At 47.8% G+C, this 21,315-nt stretch overlaps 1 protein-coding gene across 2 annotated transcripts in view, besides 9 other annotated features; it reads left to right on the top strand.

The window, feature by feature from the left end:
• Positions 4,086–4,380: an enhancer, noted in NCBI's record as "tiled region #9988; HepG2 Activating DNase matched - State 4:PromP, and K562 Activating DNase unmatched - State 1:Tss". NCBI's record gives its function as "activates a minimal TATA promoter and a strong SV40 promoter by Sharpr-MPRA in HepG2 and K562 cells {active_cell/tissue: HepG2 | K562}" and the evidence as "EXISTENCE:reporter gene assay evidence [ECO:0000049][PMID:27701403]".
• Positions 5,554–5,754: a silencer, noted in NCBI's record as "peak2294 fragment used in MPRA reporter construct". NCBI's record gives its function as "represses an SCP1 promoter by STARR-seq MPRAs in K562 erythroleukemia cells {active_cell/tissue: K562}" and the evidence as "EXISTENCE:reporter gene assay evidence [ECO:0000049][PMID:32103011]".
• Positions 7,782–8,282: an enhancer, noted in NCBI's record as "H3K4me1 hESC enhancer chr15:34876627-34877127 (GRCh37/hg19 assembly coordinates)". NCBI's record gives its function as "activates a minimal SCP1, AML or CMV promoter by ChIP-STARR-seq in naive and primed H9 embryonic stem cells {active_cell/tissue: H9 hESC(naive and primed)}" and the evidence as "EXISTENCE:reporter gene assay evidence [ECO:0000049][PMID:30033119]".
• Positions 8,267–8,336: an enhancer, noted in NCBI's record as "active region_9182". NCBI's record gives its function as "activates an Ori minimal core promoter by ATAC-STARR-seq in GM12878 lymphoblastoid cells {active_cell/tissue: GM12878}" and the evidence as "EXISTENCE:reporter gene assay evidence [ECO:0000049][PMID:35858748]".
• Positions 8,267–8,784: a biological region, named in NCBI's record as "H3K4me1 hESC enhancer GRCh37_chr15:34876125-34876626".
• Positions 8,283–8,784: an enhancer, noted in NCBI's record as "H3K4me1 hESC enhancer chr15:34876125-34876626 (GRCh37/hg19 assembly coordinates)". NCBI's record gives its function as "activates a minimal SCP1, AML or CMV promoter by ChIP-STARR-seq in naive and primed H9 embryonic stem cells {active_cell/tissue: H9 hESC(naive and primed)}" and the evidence as "EXISTENCE:reporter gene assay evidence [ECO:0000049][PMID:30033119]".
• Positions 8,907–9,236: a silencer, noted in NCBI's record as "silent region_6291". NCBI's record gives its function as "represses an Ori minimal core promoter by ATAC-STARR-seq in GM12878 lymphoblastoid cells {active_cell/tissue: GM12878}" and the evidence as "EXISTENCE:reporter gene assay evidence [ECO:0000049][PMID:35858748]".
• Positions 9,057–21,315, top strand: part of GOLGA8B (golgin A8 family member B) — a 58,557-nt gene continuing 46,298 nt past the window's right edge. Inside the window, exons 1-2 of one of the 2 annotated variants that reach the window (NR_027410.2) lie at positions 9,057–9,192; positions 11,154–11,242. The gene's annotated coding sequence lies outside the window, so the exon portion shown is untranslated. The remainder of the gene's footprint in view (positions 9,193–11,153; positions 11,243–21,315) is intronic. The other variant, NM_001023567.5, reaches the window with a different exon arrangement.
• Positions 9,317–9,546: a silencer, noted in NCBI's record as "silent region_6290". NCBI's record gives its function as "represses an Ori minimal core promoter by ATAC-STARR-seq in GM12878 lymphoblastoid cells {active_cell/tissue: GM12878}" and the evidence as "EXISTENCE:reporter gene assay evidence [ECO:0000049][PMID:35858748]".
• Positions 9,577–9,756: a silencer, noted in NCBI's record as "silent region_6289". NCBI's record gives its function as "represses an Ori minimal core promoter by ATAC-STARR-seq in GM12878 lymphoblastoid cells {active_cell/tissue: GM12878}" and the evidence as "EXISTENCE:reporter gene assay evidence [ECO:0000049][PMID:35858748]".

Here is a 21,315-nt window from a genome sequence, read left to right as displayed (position 1 = left end):
TATATAACACATAATTTGAAAGGGATTTTTGACATAAATATTATAGTTTAAAGAAGAAAAATTTCCAGAATAAGATATAGGAGAAATAACCAACATGGAGAAACTCTGTCTCTACTAAAAATATAAAATTAGCTGGGCGTGGTGGCACATGCCTGTAATCCCAGCTACTCAGGAAGGCTGAGGCAGAAGAATCGCTTGAACCCGGGAGGCAGAGATTGCGGTGAGCCGAGATCGCGCCACTGCACTTCAGCCTGGGCAACAAGAGCGAAACTCGGTCTCAAAAAAAAGATTTAAAAAAAAAAAGGTATAGGAGAAATATTTATGATCATTGGTATGGTAAAAATTCTTAATCACGATATGAAAAACACAACACATACACAAAGTGAAAAGACAAGCCACAAACCTAGAGAAATGGTTTTTTAAACACATATTTAATGTATATAAAAACCTTTCAATAATCAATAAAAACCTCATTAAAAAATCAAATAGGCACTCTCAAAAAGATGTACAGGTAGCAAAAAAGCAAAGCGAGTAAGGAAGGGAGAGCAGGAGGGAAGCTCAGAGAGGTCACTGGGAACTAAGTACTGCAGGACTTATTAGGCCATCCTAAGGCTTTCAAGTTCATTCTGAGAAATACAAAAACTTTGGGGCCAGGATTGGGGTGGTTCATGCCTGTAATCCCAGCACTCTGGGAGGCCAAGGCAGGTGCATCACAAGGTCAGGAGTTCGAGACCAGCCTGACCAACATGGTGAAACCCTGTCTCTACTAAAAATACAAAAACTAGCCAGGCATGGTGGCGGGCGCCTGTAATCCCAGCTACTCAGGAGGCTGAGGCAGAAGAATCGCTTGAACCCAGGAGGCAGAGGTTGTGGTGGGCCGAGATCATACCACTGCACTCCAGCCTGGATGACAAAGCGAGACTCTGTCAAGAAAAAAGAAAGAAAAGAAAGAAAAGAAGGAAGGAAGGAAGGAACTGACTTTGAATTATTGTAGTAGAGGGTGATGGACCTGACACAGATTTCCGGTCAGGAAAGGAAGAAAGGAAGGCAGGCAGGCAGGCAGGCAGGCAGGCAGGAAGAAAATGACTTTGAATCATTGTAGCAGAGGGTGATGGACCTGAAACAGATTTCCGCTTTGTTAGGAACAGATTATGCAGGGCAGGGGGAGGAGCAGAGAAGCAAGGGTGGAAGTAGGGAGAGCGGTTGGAATTAACGATGGAATCTCAGCAAAAGATTCAGAAATCCCAGAGGGAGATGATAGTGTACCACACCCGGGTGAAAGATGGCTGCATTTTGAATGTATTTAGAAGATCTGTGCAGATGGGCTGAATGCAGATTAATGTGGAATGTGGATAAGGTGAAAAGTCAAGATTGAAGACAAGATTTTGAGTCTGGGGAACAGAAAGCTGGAATTAGCATAAAAATGTGTTAATGACTGAGATCAAGGGTTTAGGAGAGAAGATCAGTTTTGTTTTGAACATCTGAAGTTTCAGATATTTATAGACATTGAGCTGAATATGCCAAGTAAGCAGTTGGATATACAAGCCTGAAATTTGTGAAAGACTGGGTTCATAAAATAAATATGTTAATCAATATCATATTGATGTATTTAAAGGCATAAGTCTGAATGATATCCTCAAGATTGCAAAGAGTACGTCAGTGGTTTTCAGCTGAAGGCAATTATTTCTCCCCAGGGTACAGCTGGCAATGTCTGAAGACATTTTTGGTTGTCACAGTTGGGGAATGAATTACTAGTGGCATCTAATAGGTAGAGGCTATTAGAGACCAGGGATGCTGCTGAACATCCTACAATGCACAGGATAGCCCCACATATAAAGAATTGTCTGACCCAAAATGTCAGCAGAGCCATGGTTTAGAAAGCCTGCTTCAAAGGGTTTCTAAGAGAAGAGAACGGAACCAGAGCCTGGGCTCTCAGGTGTACCAATATTAAAGATGGCGGAGAGAAGGGGAGAAATTAACAATGGAGGTTAGGAAAGATGACCAGTGAGAAAGAATCACAACCAAGAGAATGTGGAATCCGTGCAGCCACGAGAAGAAATGTACCAAACAACAGGGAGAAATAAAAAGTGTCAAATGCTGCTGCTAGGCCAAATAAAAAGATACTCAAGTAACCACCACTGGGCTTAGCAATGCAGAGGTCACTGGTGACATTAAACAAAGAAGTTTCGGTAGAGCAGTGTGAGGTGAAAGCAACTTCCGAATGTTCGGCAACATACGATACATTTTCTGATCTGGTTATTGCCAACCTTTGAATTCAAAAATTAAACTAAAAATCATATATGGCTATAACCATAGCATAGTGAATCAGCTACTCTCTGACATCCTAATCAAATAGGTAATTTTAAGTGGGATGACTTTTTCCTGCTTTATTCCTCCCACTCCCCAGTTTACAACTTGTTAAATCGACTGGAATAAAATTAATATCTACCCAGAGACACAGGACTTTTTACTCAGATGAAGAATATTTTTCAAATAATTCTTTTGATACCAATTTTTTTAATCTTCAAACTTAAAAAAGACAATCTCAAATAAAATTATACTATATTTTGAATAGATGAACACTAAACTATTTTTTATATATACTTTAAGTTCTAGGGTACATGTGCACAACGTGCAGATTTGTTACATATGTATACATGTGCCATGTTGGTTAGCTGCACCTATTAACTCGTCATTTACATTAGGTATTTCTCCTAATGCTATCCCTCCCCCATCCCCTCACCCCACGACAGGCCCCGGTGGATGAACACTAAACTTTTTAACTATCAGGATTGTCCATTTTATATCCTTACTTTTAGTGGCTTAAATAAACCTCATTTTCTTTTATGGCAGTACATGTTTCTCACCTCTGTTCACAGAGTTTCTAATCTGTCTCTGATTTAATATGTCTCATAGTTTCTAATATGCCTCTGCTTTAAAGTACTTCCTAAAAATTTTATCCACACTACAGACTACAACTTGTCCATCTGGGAAGACATTATCTAAATACATTTATGATTGTAAATTCTCTTTTAGGACCTTTATATTAACCCCACACCCCGCCATTGGTAAGAAATCATATTTGAGAAAAATGTGGGAAAGCTAGCATTTGATTTGATGGCATTAATCACTGATATACAGATGTGCTAATTATTGACTTCAGCAGAACTTTTAACACAACTACTTTAATGAGTTTTTGAAGGGGAAAATGTTGGTTATATACTTTCTGACAAAAAATAGTCAAGCACGGTAGCTCACACCTATAATCCCAGCACTTTGTGAGGCCGTGGCAGGTGGATCACTTGAGGTCAGGAGTTCGAGACCAATCTCACCAATATGGTGAAACCCCATCTCTACTAAAGGAAAAAAAATACAAAAATTAGCCGGGTGTGGTGGCATGTGCCTATGACTCAGGAGGCTGAGGCATGAGAATCACTTGAACCCAGGAGAAGGAAGGTGCAGTGAGCCAAGATCGCACCACTGCACTTCGGCCTGAGCCACAGAGTGAGACTCCATCTCAAAATGAATAAATAAAGAAATAAAATAAAAATAAAAACTGTTTTTTTAAATGTAGGCAGAACTGTCTTTTGTCAGTATATAGATACGTGTGTATCTTCATTGGACTCAGTGGGGACAAAAGTTTTACTTCAAGTGCATATAATTTCATATTATCTTTAAATTTTGTCTTCAAATTGTATTATGTTTATAATTCAAGTTTTTTTTTCAAAATCAATGTCACAAACAATAAATGTTAGAAAAAAACTTTCATTTTTCTTGAAAGAAACATAAGACATATTACCTTTTATTTATTTTATCTGTGTGATGCTTTCCTTAAGAAAGGCATCTGTTTTGGAAATAAACAGAATTAATTTTAACCCATAACCCTGAAACTTAATAATTATAGAAACTAGAGTAGATTCTTTTACTTATCTGTGCTGCAGTTTTCTCACATAAAATGAGGAAAACACACTTACTTCATAGGGTTGGCAAAAGGGAAAATACTGAACTAATTTTGGGCTAAAAGTTTCATAAATTAGGTACACAAAATTAATACCTACTGATTTGGTTTGGCTCTGTGTCCCTGTCCAAATCTCATCTCCAATTGTAATCCCCACGTGTCAGAGGAGGGACCTGATGGGAGGTGATTGGATCATGGGGGTTCTCCTGATAGTGTTCCCTCAGGCTGTTCTCGCGATAGTGGGTGAGTTCTCATGGGATCTGATGGTTTTATAAGTAGCGGTCTCCCCCGCTCTTCCCTCTCATTCCTGACGCCATGCGAAGAAGGTCCTTGCTTCCCTTTTGCCTTCTGCCATGATTGTAAGTTTCTTAAAGCCTCCCCAGACATGCAGAACTGTGAGTCAATTAAACCTCTTTCCTTTATAAATGGCCCAGTCTCGGGTATTTCTTTATAGCAGTGTGAAAATGGACTAATACACGTATTGTTCACTTTTGAATGAAAAAACACAGTCATCTTGGAAAGTAGAGGGTTTCTCTTTTCTGTTACTCAACTGCAGTATATGGCTGCTGCCACTGGATGGCAACCAAAGACACAGAAAGACCAGGAATGCCTGAGCAACAGCCTACAGAGCTTCAGCATTTCAAAAGAAATTCTAACACATCAGACGAAAAACAAAATGCATTCAGTAGGTAAAAAAAATATGTAGTCTGTGAATTAAGTGGCAATTGTTTAACTAAAATATATTATCCTTCAACAAGTCATATTTTAATATGTTTTGAGAAAAAATATCTAAAGTAGTGATGGTCTCGTTCTTTTTCATCAGGACTAGCTCAGAGTATAATAAAGTTTTAAATGTTCAGCTTCCAAGGTATTTCTTTGATGGAACCTTCACTTAAAGAAGAGGTGAAGAACAGTGGAAGCTTATTCTTTATAGTAGATTATTGAGGTGAGGTTGCCGAGATTAAAAGTCACAAGTTTTGGAAATAGGTAGAATTAATTTTAACCTACAGATTTTAAACTTAAGAATGCACTCACGCCGGATGCGGTGGCTCATGCCTGTAATCCCAGCACTTTGGGAGGCCGAGGCAGGTGGATCACGCGGTCAGGAGATGGAGACCATCCTGGCTAACACAGTGAAACCCTGTCTCTATTAAAAATACAAAAAATTAGCCAGGCGTGGTGGCGGACGCCTGTAGTCCCAGCTACTCAAGAGGCAGGAGAATGGCGTGAACCCAGGAGGCGGAGCTTGCAGTGAGCCGAGATCACACCACTGCACTCCAGCCTGGGTGACAGAGCGAGACTCCATCTCAAAAAAAAAAATTAAAATTAAAAAAAAAAAGAATGCACTCAGGTAGATTCTTCTACTTGTCAGTGCTGCAGTTTTCTCATACGTAAAATGATGAAGATATGTCTATTTCACGCGGTTGGTAAAAGGGAGAAAATAAACTAATTTAGGCAAAGGTGCCCATTGTTAGGCTTGGCATATAGAAGACACAAAGCAAATGGTAGCTATTACTGATTCTGTGATAAAAATGGTTAAGTTTTGTTTATATTTGACTGGATCAAAAGTGAAATGATCCATATATGATCTTTTACTTATTACATGTGTTGATGCTGTCCTGAAGAATATCTTATAAATAAAAGGTTAGATTTGTTAGTCAGTATTGAACTAAATCAGTACATCTTTTCTGTAAAATGCGACAGCACCTAACCATTCTCAGTACAGCATAGGCACTGTCATAAGTATAGCATTTGTTTTGTTAACTTTTTAGGTACACTTCTTTTAAACTGAAAGCCAGTGTTGGACAAGCAAATGCAGCTTCAAAATGGCAACAGGATAAGGATACATTTTTTTTTTTATGCTTTAAGTTCTAGGGTACATGTGCACAACATGCAGGTTTGTTACATATGTACACATGTGCCATGTTGGTATGCTGTACCCATTACCTTGCAGGGTTGTTACATATGTATACATGTGCCACGTTGGTGTGCTGCACCTATTAACTCGTCATTTACATTAGGTATATCTCCTAATGTTATCCCTCCCCCTCCCCCCACCCCATGACAGGCCCCGGTGTGTGATGTTCCCCACCCTGTGTCCAAGTGTTCTCATTGTTCAATTCCCATCTATGAGTGAGAACATGTGGTGTTTGGTTTTCTGTCCTTGAGATAGTTTGCTCAGAATGATGGTTTCCAGCTTCATCCATGTCCCTACAAAGGACATGAACTTATCCTTTTTTATTGCTGCCTTTTTTATAGTATTCCATGGTATATATGTGCCACATTTTCTTAATCCAGTCTATCATTGTTGGACATTTGGGTTGGTTCCAAGTCTTTGCTATTGTGAATAGTGTCGCAATAAACATATGTGTGCATGTGTCTTTATAGCAGCATGATTTATAATGCTTTGGGTATATACTCAGTAATGAGATCGCTGGGTCAAATGGTATTTCTAGTTCTAGATCCTTGAGGAATCACCACACTGTCTTCCACAATGGTTGAACTAGTTTACAGTCCCACCAACAGTGTACAAGCGTTCCTATTTCTCCACATCCTCTCCAGCACCTGTTGTTTCCTGACTTTTTAATGATGGCCATTCTAACTGGTGTGAGATGGTGTGTCATTGTGGTTTTGATTTGCATTTCTCTGATGGCCAGTGATGATGAGCATTTTTTCATGTGTCTGTTGGCTGCATAAATGTCTTCTTTTGAGAAGTGTCTGTTCATATCCTTCGCCCGCTTTTTGATGGGGTTGTTTGATTTTTTTTCTTGTAAATTTATTTATTTGTAGATTCTGGAATATTAGCCCTTTGTCAGATGGGTAGATTGCAAAAATTTTCTCCCATTCTGTAGGTTACCTGTTCACTCTGACGGTAGTTTCTTTTGCTGTGCAGAAGCTCTTTAGTTTAATTAGATCCCATTTGCCTATTTTGGCTTTTGTTGCCATTGCTTTTGGTGTTTTAGTCATGAAGTCCTTGCCCATGCCTATGTCCTGAATGGTATTGCCTAGGTTTTCTTCTAGGCTTTTTATGGTTTTAGGTCTAACATTTAAGTCTTTAATCCATCTTGAATTAATTTTTGTACAAGGTATAAGGAAGGGATCCAGTTTCAGCTTTGTACATATGGCTAGCCAGTTTTCCCAGAACCGTTTATTAAATAGGCGTTCTCTCCTTTCGTATCTAAAGGAGTTTTATGGACAGGCTGATGGTGGTTATGTGCATGTGGGGAGAGCTTAGAGTGGGAGCTAGTCATTACACTGGTGGACCTTTAAATGCCACGGTAGGGAGGCTTCCTCCAGAGGACCGACAACTACACTAGCAGCACCCACTCTCACCAGGCAGTGTACACAACTCTCTTTGGAGAGAATCTCTGATTTTTTTCTTTGGGGTAAGTGACTGGCTGCATCCATGATTTGGGGGGAGGGGCATTAATTGTCCATGCTGGATCTTCATTTATTCTACCTGTTCCAGTCCCATTTCCACTCTGCCCTCTGTGATACCTGCACTGCACTGGAGCCTGGAGGCTCCCTGAGGTTCTCACAGACGGACGGGTCAGCCACCCCCGCCCCCGGGCTCCAGACCCTCTTCGTATGTTCTGGCCTTGTGCCCTCGAATCTATCCCATAGATCTCTAAATCCTCTTCATCTTCCAGATGAAATCATTCATCTGCTAACGACTTCCTTCTGCCCTCTTTGTTATGTGGCTTAGACTTTTAAAAACACTGATCCATTAGTTGAATGGAAGAAGAGGATATAAATGTGATTTATCAGACCCCATCTTGAATCCCATTCATTTCACAGCTGCTGTCCTAACTCAGGCTCAGGGTGTGCAGAGGCCAAGTCCACACTGTATCTAACCCTAGTGCAGCTCAGGATTTGGTTTTCCCCAGCCCGTTCTCCTCAGGGTCTCAGGTCAGGCCCTCAGGGCAGCAGGAAGATGGGCTCTCCTCAACCCCCAGGCCCCCTGTCCTTCTGTGCTCCCCCTCCCCCCCGCCCCCCCCCCCGTCTTCAGAACTTCCCATGCCACAGCTTCGCCTAGTCCAGCCACAAGGAGAAAAGAAAACGAGGGCAAATCACCAGGATTTGGGGGAGCGAGGCAGCTGAGGTCCCACTCTGCACAGACTAGGCACCTTGTGCCTCTCCCACGGCTTACCACATCTGCCTGGGACTCAATGAAAGGGCCAGAGGGCCGAAGGTGACACCGGAGTCTCCAGCACGACCTTCGCCCAGGGCCTCCAGGGGATTTCGATTTCTCGCGCTGTGGGGGCGGAAGACCGGCTCTCCTGGGGATGTGTGTGAGTGTCTGGGAGTGTGTGCTCCCCAGGGCCCCGCGGAGGTCAGGGTCCTCTCCATTCAGGACAGCAAGGAGAGAAAGGCCTGGAGTGAGGCCCTGGGGCTGGGGGCTAAAGCAGCAGAGTATCAGAAATGGGGTGCTAGGGTGGTTACTGGGGACCAGCAGGGAAGACTTGGAGTCCAGCATGCGCCTAGGGGTGCTGCGGTGGGGAGGCAGCAGGGGGCCTCCCCTGCCCGATGGGGCTTTCGGAGGCCGCGATCCCCGAGGGTTCCTAGCTCTAAGGTCCCCGCTTACAGCTGCACCGGGCAGAGCGAGCAGGGCGCAGCGCCGCGGCCGGGGCAGGATGCGGAGCCTCGCGTTCACCGGCTTTACCCGCGAGACCAGACCCCTGCAACTCCCCAGCCAGCAAGGCCGGGACGTGCTTCGGGCATCTGTGTGCTCCCCAGGGCCCGGGACGTTCGGGGCGCTGAGCCGTCCAACGTCTGGGTTCCAGCCCCGGTCCCGTAGATCCTCCCGGCTGGACCCGGGTCCTGGGTGCACCCGCCCGCCCTGCCGATGTCCCAGTGCCGGGGCCAGGGGCCGCAGGGCCTCGTGAACGCCCGGCACGGACGCATCTTTTTCTTCCCTCTCTTCCCCGCGCGCGGTGTCGCCGGGAAGCGTTTCCCGGCCCCAGTGATCCAAGAGCGGGTGAGGTAAAGCGGCAGGGACCGGGGCGCGGGCTCGGCAGCCGCAGCTCAGTGCGCGTGCGCCAGGTAGCGGCAGCCCTGCGTGCTTTCCGTACTCCGCTTGCGGTATGTACCCGCCGCTATTCAGCTTCCGGGCTAATTAGCAGTCGCGGTGTGCCGCTACGTGCGGGCTCTCAAGGAGCTCAGCCTCCCGGACGGAGCCGGCGGCTGCGGGGCGAGGACGGCGGCGGACCGGGGCAGCCCCGCGCCCTGGCCAGGTAAGCTGGGGAACCTTGGCTGCCTGACTCCCTGGCGGCGGCAACCTGGGGCCGCCCGCGGCGCCGCGGGGACCCCGACGCGTGGGGGGCGGCGCGGAAGCTGCAGGCCAAGAGCTCCCGAGCGCTGCCCCCCGGACTCGGCGGGGCTGCGGGGAGGCCGCCGCTGGGATCTAGGGGTGCAGCCCGGCTGGCCTACGCCTCTCGGACCGGCCCATCCTCCTCCCACGACAGGCGGGCGGGTGCGGCGGGGACCAGGCAATACTCTCGCATCCCGGGAGGGGCTCACCGCGGTGAGGGGCCACTCTCGGCGCGGGCAAGTGGCGCTGTCTGGCGGGGCCGCCCGCTCGGATCTCGCTGGGCTGGCCGGGCCGCTGGTGCGTTCCGCTGCCCCGCTTGACGCCGGCATCAAGTCCCCGAGCTGGGCGGCAACTACTGAGTTTGGGGTCGCCTCTGGGTTCGCTTCCCCGGGAGAACCCGAGCCCGGATCTTCGCCCCTTCCCTTTTCCTGTATAATAAGGCCCAGAGAGAAAAACTTCTCAATTAAAAACCCCACACCTTGTTGCCCCGGGGCTGCAGGCGCCGGGTTGGAGGCACGCCGCGGACCTGCCCCTCCCGGAGACCTGCCCCGGAAGGGGCAGGGCCCCTTCTCCAGGCCAGGCACTGCCTGGCAAGGCTGCTGGAGGGAGATCTGGCCGCAGATGGTGAAGGAGAACATCGAGGCCCCCAGTCCCCAAGCAGGGCTCCATGGGTCGGGCGGCGGGCATTGGTAAGCCCAGGCGAGGGGTGAACTTCCTTTCCCCGGGGCCGACGCGGAGGGAGGGTGCGGGGAACGCCCGCCGAGGGGCCTGTCCTGCGGTACCCCAGTGGAGAGCAGAGCCTTAGAGGGGCCTGCTAGTCTTAGTATTTATTGGCAGAAGAAAGGCTTATTTTTTCAGATCTCTTGAGATACGACCTGGCAGGCACCAGACGTAAATCTGTGGTTGAGTGCAGTCAGCTCTTAAACGGGCATGCGGTGGATGAAGCGCCCCAAACTTCGCATCTTGCGTCTGGCACTTTGTTTTTGGGCTAAACTGCCTCTGGCCTCTTCAACCTCCTGTGCCTCTTTCTGCTTTTGTTTGTTTGTTTCTATTTTCTTCCTCGTTGAGAAAGGACAGTGGTTTTAGAAATAATGATCTGAGAGCTTTGCAGGTTGAAGTGGGACAAGTTTTCCTAAGGTTCAGGTTGGCAGTTGCCAGGAGCCTGCAGGTGGCTTTTTCTCAGGCCTCTGGGTCAGGGTCCCTCCAGTGAGGTGAGGCAGGGGTTTCTCCCCTCCCAGAGGTGTGGCCACTACGCAGGGGGACAGGAACTGGGTTTCCCAGTCCGGGGAGTCCAGGATGCCCTGCACTCTGCGCTGATTCCTGGGTGACCGTGGGGGCTGCCTCCCCCTTCAGCCTGGGCTGGAGAGGGTCTCCTGAGCTTAGGAACTGCGGGGCAGGAGGGCTGGGGTGTTAAGGACACGTGGAACTTGCTGGGGCTCCGGGCAGTGTCCAGGGCGTGAGCAGATAAAGCTGGACCTTGCAGCTGTGTGCCGGCAGCCCTCGGTGGGCTCTAGCAGTACTGTTGGGGGGCCCTTGGAGTGGGCTCCCTGGCTGGGCTGGGACTGGGTGATGGCAGTAGCAATGGGGCACCAAGTCTTCCCTCTCATTTGTTAGGAAGTGCGGTCTGTGCCCGTCCCCACTGTCTGGCTCTTGGGCTGGGAGAAGCTGCAGGCTGAGTCCCACGGAGTGTGAGTGTGTGTGAGCAGGAGTGGGTGCTGGAAGGAGGTAAAGCTGGTGACCGTCAGCTCCTCATTCTCTTCCACCTTGCATGTTTTCTCTGACACCCCAGACCCAAGTTGTGGCCTGCTGGTTAACTTGTTTACATAACCTTCTTAAGTAGCTCTAACCTTTAAAAAAAAAAAAATCAAAATGTTAGTTTCACAGGAATAATTGGTGGGGATGGATTGTGAAATGGAGCTGCATAAATATCCAGTTTGCCAACTGAGCTAAGAAATGCTGGATAAAAGTAAAAGGTAATTGTAAAAGACACTGATCACACCCCTGGAAGCTTAGAGATGGGATAAGACACCTTGATTTTTCCCAGACAAAACTGAGGAAGTCAGAGGAAAAACAGTTGATAGTGAGGTTGGCATAAGGCTGGGCTTTGTTTGGATTGGGCCGCGGTGGCTGCAGTGAGGGCTGTTGGAGTGGGGAGAGTGGGGGTTGAACCTGGCTGAAGAGGCCCCCTCCAGGCCTCAGCTCCTCTCCGGCACTCCTCGCTGTCCTCTGCCACGCATACCTGCCCCAGTGACTTAACAGGTGTGGGCCTCAGGTGACACCATGGTCTGAAGTCTTGGAGAAACCTTTACTGTCCAGGGGAGGACAGGACTGGCGGTCGGTGGGGATCGAGGCCCTGCACACATCACTGGGTGGCTTCAATGTCTTCGGCAGAGATCACATGCCCTGCGTTTCAGCCTGGTCCTTAGAGAAACGGAGAGAGCTCTGGGCCTGGGTGGCGGCCCTGGCTGTACCACTCACAGGCTGTGTGTCCTCAACCCAGTCTCAGTTCCTCACCCTTGCCAGGTGGCCGTGAGGACTAGGAACATGGAGACACAGGTAGGGTGTAAGGTAGCCACTGATGACCAGGCAGGCCTCTGCAGTGTAGGTCAAGTTTGAGATGGTTGCTCACCAGGAGGCAGCCTGTGTGCCTGGCAGGGGCTGGGGGTGCTCAATGTTCCCTTGGATGGTGGTTGGCCTGAGCGCCCACAGAGAGGCTTCTCCGGCTCTTTCCTTTCCCAGAGTTCCTCCCCACCCCTCTGCTGCCCACCGCCTGGGTTGGGTCCAGCTCATGTCTCAGAGCAGCCTGCTGGCACAGGCTGAGTCAGCTGTCATGGGCACTGTCGCTTCTCGCCTCTCCTGAAGCCAATCCTCCCCTCTCTCCCTGTCCAGACACACAAGGGAGGCCCGGGAGTTAGGTGACCTCAAGGTCGTGCAGCCAGGCTCTCTCTGGAACCCTGCGTACTGGTGGGGTGCCATTGCTGTGTGCTTTATGATTTCTGTGCCGGCTGTGAGGTTTCCCAGGTTGGGCTGTGCAAGTTGGCCCAGGCCCAATGGTGACACACCATTGCCCAGGCCTTCAGTGGCTTTCCAGTGCTCCCTCCACATCCATGTGTCTCGGCCTGATTTTTCTCAAATTCTCCCACTCGCTCCCAAGAATGGTCCCTCCAGGCTCTCCTGGCTCCAGGCAGACAGGCTCATTGCCCAGATCTGCCCTGGGTTGTCCCCACCCCATCCCCACCTGTCATCTTGGCCCATGTCCATCCCGGAGATCCTAACTGAATGTAGGCTCTTTCGTCTTATCCCTTGGTCCTCGGATTTGCCAGGCCACTCTTGCCTCCAGGCCTTTGCACCTGCTGTTCCCACCCCCTTGGCATCAGCCACCCCCAGATGCCCACCTGGCCAGCCCCTCACCTATTGCCGGCTCCCTGATGGCCCTGCATAAATTAGCGTTACTTCCCCTTCTCTTGTTAACCTTGCTTTGTGTTTCTCCTTAGTACTCAACATTCAGTGTGTTATTTATGTACTTGTTTGTTTATTGTCAGTCTCTTATCACTCAAATGTAAAAGACTTTGTTCACCTCTGGATCCCCAGTAGCTAGAAAAGTGCCTGGCACACAGCAGAGCCTTAGTGCTGTTGTTGGATGAGTGAGTGAATGAAACACGGGAGCAGTAGTCTCCTTGCAGCACATGTCCTGCTCCCTGTGCCTCCTTTTCCCGAGTCCCAGAGCTGGAACCCAGCTGTGTTCACCTTTGGATCCTCCTAGAATGTAGCACAGACCCTTACTCAGTGGGCAGTCAGGAAAGAGCTGCAGAGTTGTACTGTGCAACGTCAGTTTCACATAGGCCAGAGGAGAACGTGTTTGGGAAGGTAACCAGCCCAAAGAATGAGCTTTCTTATTGTGCACTGAGATTCCTTTTTGGATTTTCAGTTGTTTGGGTTCTCTGCACCCAGGTGGTCCCTGCTGCCAAAGTCAGCGCTGCGTCTCCCTGCAGTCACCTCGGATGTGGATGCACTTTGGAAGGAGGCACCCCCACGCCCAGATTCCCTTCCCACTCCATCTGGATCTTTCCAAACTTGTCTTGTACCTAATGTCAGACTCTGTTCCAGGGCTCTCAGCCACTCTGCTTTCCCTTCCAGAAGCCTCCTCCTGCTTGACTCTCTCCTGCGTGTGTCCTGGCCTGGTTGGAGAAGATGCTTTGGTTTTATGAGAAAGGGACTGGGAGGTCAGAAAAGAGGATGGGATTTGGAGTAACAGGAGCTCAGTTCCAGCCTGGCCCTGCCACTAAACCCTGGGGTCCAGGGCCAGTCTTCTGGCTTGAGAGTCTTTCTCAGCATCTGCAATGTGCGCATGAGGCCTCTTGCCTGTGGTTGTTTTGAGGCACAGACGAGATGCGATATTGAACTGATGCGAGATATTTTATGATAGCAAGGACTCCATGGTGTGGCTTCTCTTATTGTCCTGGGAGTTTTAAGGGTCAGGTTTGTGAGTTACAGCTACGGCCTAGTGAGAGAATGCAGAGGAGGCCTGTCATAAACTCTAAAGGGCTGTTTTAATGTAAGGTGGTGCATCTGTTGTTTTGTGTTTCAAGGATCAAAATTAAGAGAAAAAAATATGTGGTTGAGATACCTGCGTTGAGTGACTGTGGAAATATTTTCATCTCTAGTTGTCTGGAAACGGAAACACTCCAACATTTAAAGATGGTTTTCATGGCGAAACCACTGGAATGAAACACGCATCATCGGGCAATTCTGTGTGTTGAGTTCCATCCCTCTTTGTTTGTCATTTTAAATAATTTCCCTACAAATCCAGAAGGCAGGTCTTGTCTTAACTTCGCGACGAGGAGGCTGGGGACAGGTAGCTGAGCTATGGGTTGCCTAAGAGCACTCTGCTGTGACGGGGCAGTGCTGGCCTTTGAGCCTGAGCTGGAGAGAGTGTGAGGCCCATGTTTTCTCTCTGTCTCCTGCTGGGGCCCATTTTGTATCAGATTTGTTTTTAACGGGGTGGGCATGACTAGGACTTATGACCATTGGTGGGCAAGTACAGGGGCTAATTTTCAACACGTGCTGAGAGACTGATGGCTGGCATCGGAGAGTTATGGAAATGCCACAGATGACGTGAGCTCTTCACAGCGATGGGGAAAGGGCGTGGGAGCTTGCCCTCCAGGAAGGTGGCTAACATGGTTGGTGGGACACTAAGGTGTTTTCCATTTTGCACTTGAAGCCAACATGGATTCTTAGCACTTCTTGTCCCTAGAATCAACTGTGCAGAGAGACGCTTGGTTGTGAAACTCTCAGGCAAAGACAGTTCTGAGGAAACTTACTAGTAAATAGTGAGTCAGAGAACACTACTGACATTTAGGATTTTCAGTTGAGATACATATGTACTGTCATGCATCACATGACATTGTTTTTGTGAGTGATAGCGTATATGACAGAGGTCCCATAAGAATATCATGGGGCTCAAAAATTCCTATTGCCTAGTGACATTGTCGTAAAGTTGTAGTGCAGTTACTTTATTTTTTAAAAAAATGTAGCCTAACTGTACAATGTTTATAAAGTCTGCACTAGTGTACAGACTGACTCACCGGAGCAACTTCCATTCATGGAAGGTCCATTCATAGAAAGTGCCCTAGACAGGGGCACCATGTTTTATCTTTTATAGCATATTTTAACTTTGTGCCTTTTCTATGTTTAGATACACACCTTCAGCACAGTAACATGCTGCCTAGGTTTGCAGCCTAGGAGCAGTAGGCTGTACCCTATAACCTAGTGTGTTGTAGTAGGTTTGTATAATGTATGCTCTATGATGTTCTCATAATGATGAAATTGCCTAATGATAAATTTCTCAGAATACATCCCTGTCATTAAGTGACGCATCTGTGTGTGTGTGTGTGTGTGTGTGTGTGTGTGTGTGTGTGTGTGTGTGTGTGTATGATATATAATTTTTTTCATTTGGTTGGTTTGGCATTCCTGGAATTGATTCTCCAGCAAGGCAGCTCTAAATATGGATTCCTCTGAACTGTTGTATGTGTTCTTAATTTAATAAACAAGTATCGTTTATGGTTTCCCGCAGTTGGTTTGATTATCAGCTGTCTTGGAAAAATCTATTGTTTCAAAAATAGTAAAGCCACTAGTTGAGTAACCGCATGCATTTAGGGATGATGGATTTCTCAGGTCTCTCTGGAAGCAAGTGTGTGCATTGTGCAATTAAAACACAGTTTCTGTTTCTCAGTCTTTTGGTGTAATAAGTGAGCCATGTGCTCTAGCATCTGTCTGAATTATCCGGAGCTGGTGGCAGCTGTCACGGGTGTGGTGCAGTGGGGCCAGGCATGTGTTAGGAACTGGAAGCTCTGGGAAGCCAGGCTCTGCCTGCACGTGTGAGCCAGCTGTAGAGCGTCACTGCTCAGAGTTTGTCTTGACTCATCCCAAGAAGGGCACGTGGAGGTCTGTGTCCCATTCCTCACCAGCCACTGAGTTATTATGGATGGAGGAGATGAGATGTGTGCAACTGTTCTGCTACAGGAAAGCAGTCAGTCAGTGCAGTCACCAGGGTTAGGATGTGTGAGTGTTTTACCAACCTGCCTGCTGGGTTTCAGACACTTGGCACTACCTCCAGCCTCTAACTGATTCTGGCTGGTACGCGTGAAAGCTGTCAGCTGAGTGATGAATGGACCGATTTTGGCCACAGGTCCCTGCACTTCCCACCTGGCCTGACTGCTAGATTCTGAGCCCCTGAGGCAGGACTGAATGGGTCACATTGATGGTTGATTCTCTCGGGAATGGCATTGGGTGAAATCGAGGTTTTCCTGACCCACAGCTCCTACTAGAAGTGCCTTTCTTTTGTGCATGTATTGTGAAGATTCTGCCTGTGAACTTTCTCTACCCTTTGAGTCCTAAGGTTCAGGTACCTGGAGAGGAGCATGTCATCGTTTTGCAGGTGGGATGTGTGGTTGTTGGGGAAGACGTCTTTGTGCTGTGTTGGGTTGGAAGCTTTGAGAGCAGAAGCCCCTCCAGACCAAGAACTCCTGATTGTGTCTTTCCCTTGGGCTTTCGCAGTTTTCAGCTTCTAAATTAATTGCATTTTATTAAGTAATGGTTTTCTTCTTGATCACAGGCGTGCCTGTGCTTAATCAGCACTGAGGACTGGTGCTACTTCAGTTGATTTGATACACCTAGAGGCAGCCTCATCTCCAACTTGTCTTGACTTCATTTGGGGAGCTGCCGTGGGGGACCCCTGGACTGGCAGCATTCCCACCCCTCACTTTGGCAACCCTGGCCTAACTCCTTGTATGTGTTGCTCCTTTTATCCATCACATAGGGTGGCTTAATCTAATAGTGGAAACAAAGGGGTGCGGGACGCTAACCTGGTAGGTCTCACCTTGCCCGTCCCGTCATTCACCTCTCAGTCCTTTGACACTCAGGGACTCTGCAGTGGTACAACCGGGAGCAGGTACCCTTCACTTTTCTTACCCCCGAGTCCCTTTGCCTGGAGCACTGTCCATCTATCCACCCATGCACTCAGTAGGTATTTTCCAAGCAGCTACTATATTCCAGCTTTCTTGTTCCCAGTTTAGAGCTGGGTGGGATCAGGAGGGAGGGCATGGAAGGGGTTGCTGGAGAATGTGCAATGGCATCAGAGCCCCATTCTGGCTCTGGGTCCAAGGCCCTCCTAGAGAGGCACAATCTGGAAGATGTGAGAGCCCCACGGTAGGTTGGGGTGGATCATGGACCCCATCCTAGAAGAGTGGGTGGGTTTGCCCCTTCAGAGCCCAGGCCAGAAGAGCCCTCTCGGCAGAAGGGCCAGCCTGGAGTGTGGCACCCTGGGCATAGGGAGGGCCAAGTTTTTGGCAGCAGGATTATGTAGTTTGTGTAGGTCAGAGCTGGAGATGGGGGTTGGGGGGCAGTTCCTGACCATTAGGGGCTTGGTAGCCCTGGAGAGCCCTTGCTGTGGGTTGGGAGCAAAGTAGGTGGGCCAATAACAACACATATTTTACCAAGTGAATTCTAGGAGAGTGATTTCTGCAGCTGGCTTCCCTAGTGGACAGTTCAGAGCATGGGAGGAAGACGCGGTCAGGGGTGTGTTGAGGGGTGCATCCAGAGGCGAGAGGAGGGTGTGGGGAGGTATGAGCAGAAGATGTGACATGGGGTGGGGAGGGGTGCAGTGAGGACGCAGGAGGGTGGCGGGGGCAGGTGTCTGGCCGAGGCACCGCCAGCGTCATGTGGAGGCTCTGGAGCCCACTCCCCACTGGGTTCTATAGGAGGTGGCAGCTGATGCCAAGTCCCAGCCTTGCTAGTGCGGACGTTTTATTTTACCCTTCTTTTTTTTTTTTTTACAAGGATTTATAGGATTTCTAGATTAAATTGCCCCTGTTCTCCAAGAAGGAGCGGGAACAGCAGCGCTGCAGGGTGATGGGCTGCAGATGCCTCTGCAGCAGGGTGGGGTCTGGGGAGACATTCAGGTGCCTCCTGTCCACGGCCTCGATAGGCCAGGGCGCCTGCAGCTTGGGCCCTCTTCCCCTTTCAGGTGGAGGGAGCTGTTCATCCTCTGGGGGCTGCTGGGCAAGAAACATTTCTTACCTGATAATGTGAAGCGTCAGAGGTCCCTGTTTTATGGGTAAGTTGCTGTATGTTTTGGAGCTGCAGGCAGTCTGTTTTTCTCACTAGCATGGTGTGGAGGTGGGGGACAGTATTCCCTCCCGTGAGGCCCATGCCCGCTTCATTATCCCTGTCTGCTGGGGCTGCGCTGGTTGCTGGCTGAGGCTACCTTTGTTACTTCCATGTGCTGTAGCTGGAAAGGCCTGCTACTTGTTAGGCTCCTTAGAAATCTGATTTGAAGGCTGGGCACGGTGGTTCATGCTGTAATCCCAGCACTTTGTGAGGCTGAGGAGGGAGGATCGCTTAAGCCCAGGAGTTTGAGATCAGCCTGGGCAACACAGGGAGACCTCACCTCTACAAAAAAATAGAAAAATTAGCCAGATGTGGTGGCTCATGGGTGTGGTCCTAGCTACTTGGGAGGCTGAGGTGGGAGGATCGCTTAAGCCCAGGAGGTTGAGGCTGCAGTGAGTTGTGAGGGTGCCACTGCCCTCCCCTGGGTGACAGAGCGAGAACTTCTCTCTCTCAAAAAAAAAAAAAAAAGTCTGATTTGAAGGAGAGAAAGCTCTACTTGATGTGGGGGTTGGGAGTGGAGAGCACCTCTGCGATTAGACCTTTGTATCATCTTGATGATTTTAATCAGACATCTAATATTATGTTGTGGTTCATGTCAACTGATTTCCCAAACCTGAATTTCAGAGACTTCCCATGACACACCGGGCAGTGGGAGTGGGGATGGTGAGAGACTGTTAGTTATTCCAGGAAGAGAGGCCTTTTCTGATTGTCCTGCTCACCAGCACACTGAGGGGCTGGGCCGGTGACCTGATGGGCTGGGGAGTAGAGCCCTGGCTTATTTATGTGCACTTGTTTCTTTTGAACATGTCTTGTTTTGCTGGTGATTTGGCAAATAGGTTGAAACCAAGCCCTCCCCCAGTTCCTCAACCACCTAGGACTCCACAGGTACCTGGGAGTCCGATGGCTGGCAGGCTGCCTTTTGAAGCTTGGCCTAGTGTCCCACAGCTGTTGGTTGTCCTAGGAATCCAAGGAAAAGCTGCTGAATTCTGTGGCCCCAGGAGGATCTTTGTCCTCCTTTTGCAGAGCAGTAGGTGGATTTGCTCTGTTGAGCTGGAAGGAAGAATTTTTAGATTTCCTCTGGCTGAAGAAGTTAAAATGGAACCATCTACATCAATTCCCCACAATTGGACTTTAAAGCATGTTTTCAGAAAAACGGACTCGATTATTTTCTATGTGTGGAAGCAAATTCCTTGGGAACTTCTGGTGAATTTTTTTTTTTTTTTTTTTTTTTTTTTGAGACGGAGTCTCACTCTATCACCCAGGCTGGAGTGCAGTGGCACAATCTCGGCTTACTGTAAGCTCCACCTCCTGGGTTCACGCCATTCTCCTTCCTCAGCCTCCCGAGTAGCTGGGACTACAGGCGCCCGCCACCCCTCCCGGCTAACTTTTGTATTTTTAGTACAGACGAGATTTCACCGTGTTAGCCAGGATGGTCTTGATCTCCTGATCTCATGATCTGCCTGCTTCAGCCTCCCAAAGTGCTGCGATTACAGGCGTGAGCCACCATGCCCGGCCTAACTTCTGGTGAATTTTAAAGTGCTTGTCTATTTTGTTTTATTCTCCAATACTGAGAAGTCTTTAACAACTAGAGGCTGCTTGGGTAGGTCAAGGTCTGAGGGGCAGCGCTCCCCACCAGAGCTAATCATTAAATAGATCTGCCATCTGTAGTTTTTGTTTTGCATTTTGAGATGGAGGTGTTGCTATGTTGTCTCTAGGCTGGACTTGAACTCCTGGGCTCAGGCAATCCTCCTGCCTCGGTCTCCTGAGTAGCTGGGACTACAGGTACATGCCACTGTACCTGGCTTGATGTCTCTGTTTTAAAAAATTTTGCCTTCTCGCAATTATCTTGTATCTCTGGAGAAGAAAGCTGCCATTTTTCTGGCAGTGGAATTTGGAGTTGAGAAGGACCCTGGCTCCATCAACGGGGGTGGCGCCTAACATATGATAGATCTATATAACACAGATCTTGAGATCCTTTAAATATCTGTTTCTGATTATGAAATTCAGATGTACTAATTATAAAGATTAGAACTTTACAGAAATGCATCATGTAGAATAGAAAATGAAAGCTTCCCCCTAACTTCACCACTGCCCCATTCAGTGCCCACAAAGATAATCATTGTTCACAGTTTGGTGGCGATTCCTCCCATTTTCTTTTCTGTCTGTGAACATATTTTACTTGTCTTTTAAATACATACATATTTTAAAAGTATTTTTCAACAAAGTGGGATCCTACTGTAAATAAGATTTGCACTTCGATCCGCTCACCAGCTGTGTGTCTTAGAGATGCTCCCTTGTCCTTTGCGCAAGCAGCATTATTCTGACGCTTGCATAATATGTGACTGTTTACTTATTGAACTTTTGGGTTCCGTTTTTCACACTCACGGAGAATGCTGACAGGTGGAGTCTCGTACATTAAACCCTTGCATCTGCGTGGGGTTGTTTTCGTAGCATAGATTCCTAGAAGTGGACTTGCGGGGCTGAATGGTTTGGGCATTCAGAGTGTCAACAGATATTGCCAAATTGCTCTCTTGACAGGTGGTGACCATTCTAAATGATGCTAGTGTGTGGGGCAGCGGTGTCCCCACTGACACTCTCTGGACATCGACACTCTCTGGACATGATCAGTCTTTGTGTTTCATTCAGTCATGTGGGTGTGAAGTGATAGCTTATTTCATTTTGTGTTTGTAAAAATTGTGAATGATAACAAGCTGTTTCTTCTGTGCTTAATACTAATTTGAATTTCTCTTTCTAATTCTCTTTTTCATCCTTGCCTGTTTTTCTCTTGATTTGTGTAGCTTTTCCTTGTTGATTTCTAGGTGTTCTTGGTACACAGGGTTATTCCTCATTTTCTATATATATTGCGGATATTTTCTCTCAGATGCCACTTGTCCTTTGAATTTGTTTAAAGACATCTCTGGCAATGTAAAAATTTGGAAATTTTACATTGTTAAAACTATCAAGCTTGCTTTAATTACTCCTGAATTTTGTATCTTACTTAGAGAATGGGTTTCTGTACCCTAATGTGTATAACCACCCTCCTGCATATTCTGCTAATACTTGATAGTCTCGATTTTTTTACATTTACATCTCTTCTTTGATCTAAAATGTATTTTAGATACGGTGTGATTTGTGGATGTAGTTTTTTTTTTTTTTATACGATTCCAACCTAATTTCCTAGTCAGCCACTTTGACCTCTCTGTTTTGGCAGGTTTGTCATGGGTTAAGTAGCTGCTGTGTTCTGAGTGTTTCTTCTGTGTTTCTGGGTTCTCCATTCTAATTTACTGCTTTATTGTTGTGCCACTATCTACCGTGTAAGTTACGGTGGCTTTTGGTAAGACTTAGTTATCTTAAAGGGCCATTACCTCTTCATTCCTCT

This window comes from Homo sapiens, chromosome 15 (assembly GCF_000001405.40).
Source record: "Homo sapiens chromosome 15, GRCh38.p14 Primary Assembly".
Classification (NCBI taxonomy): Eukaryota; Metazoa; Chordata; class Mammalia; order Primates; family Hominidae; genus Homo; species Homo sapiens.
Note: the sequence above shows the minus strand (reverse complement) of the source record. Positions and strands in the feature narration are given on the sequence as shown.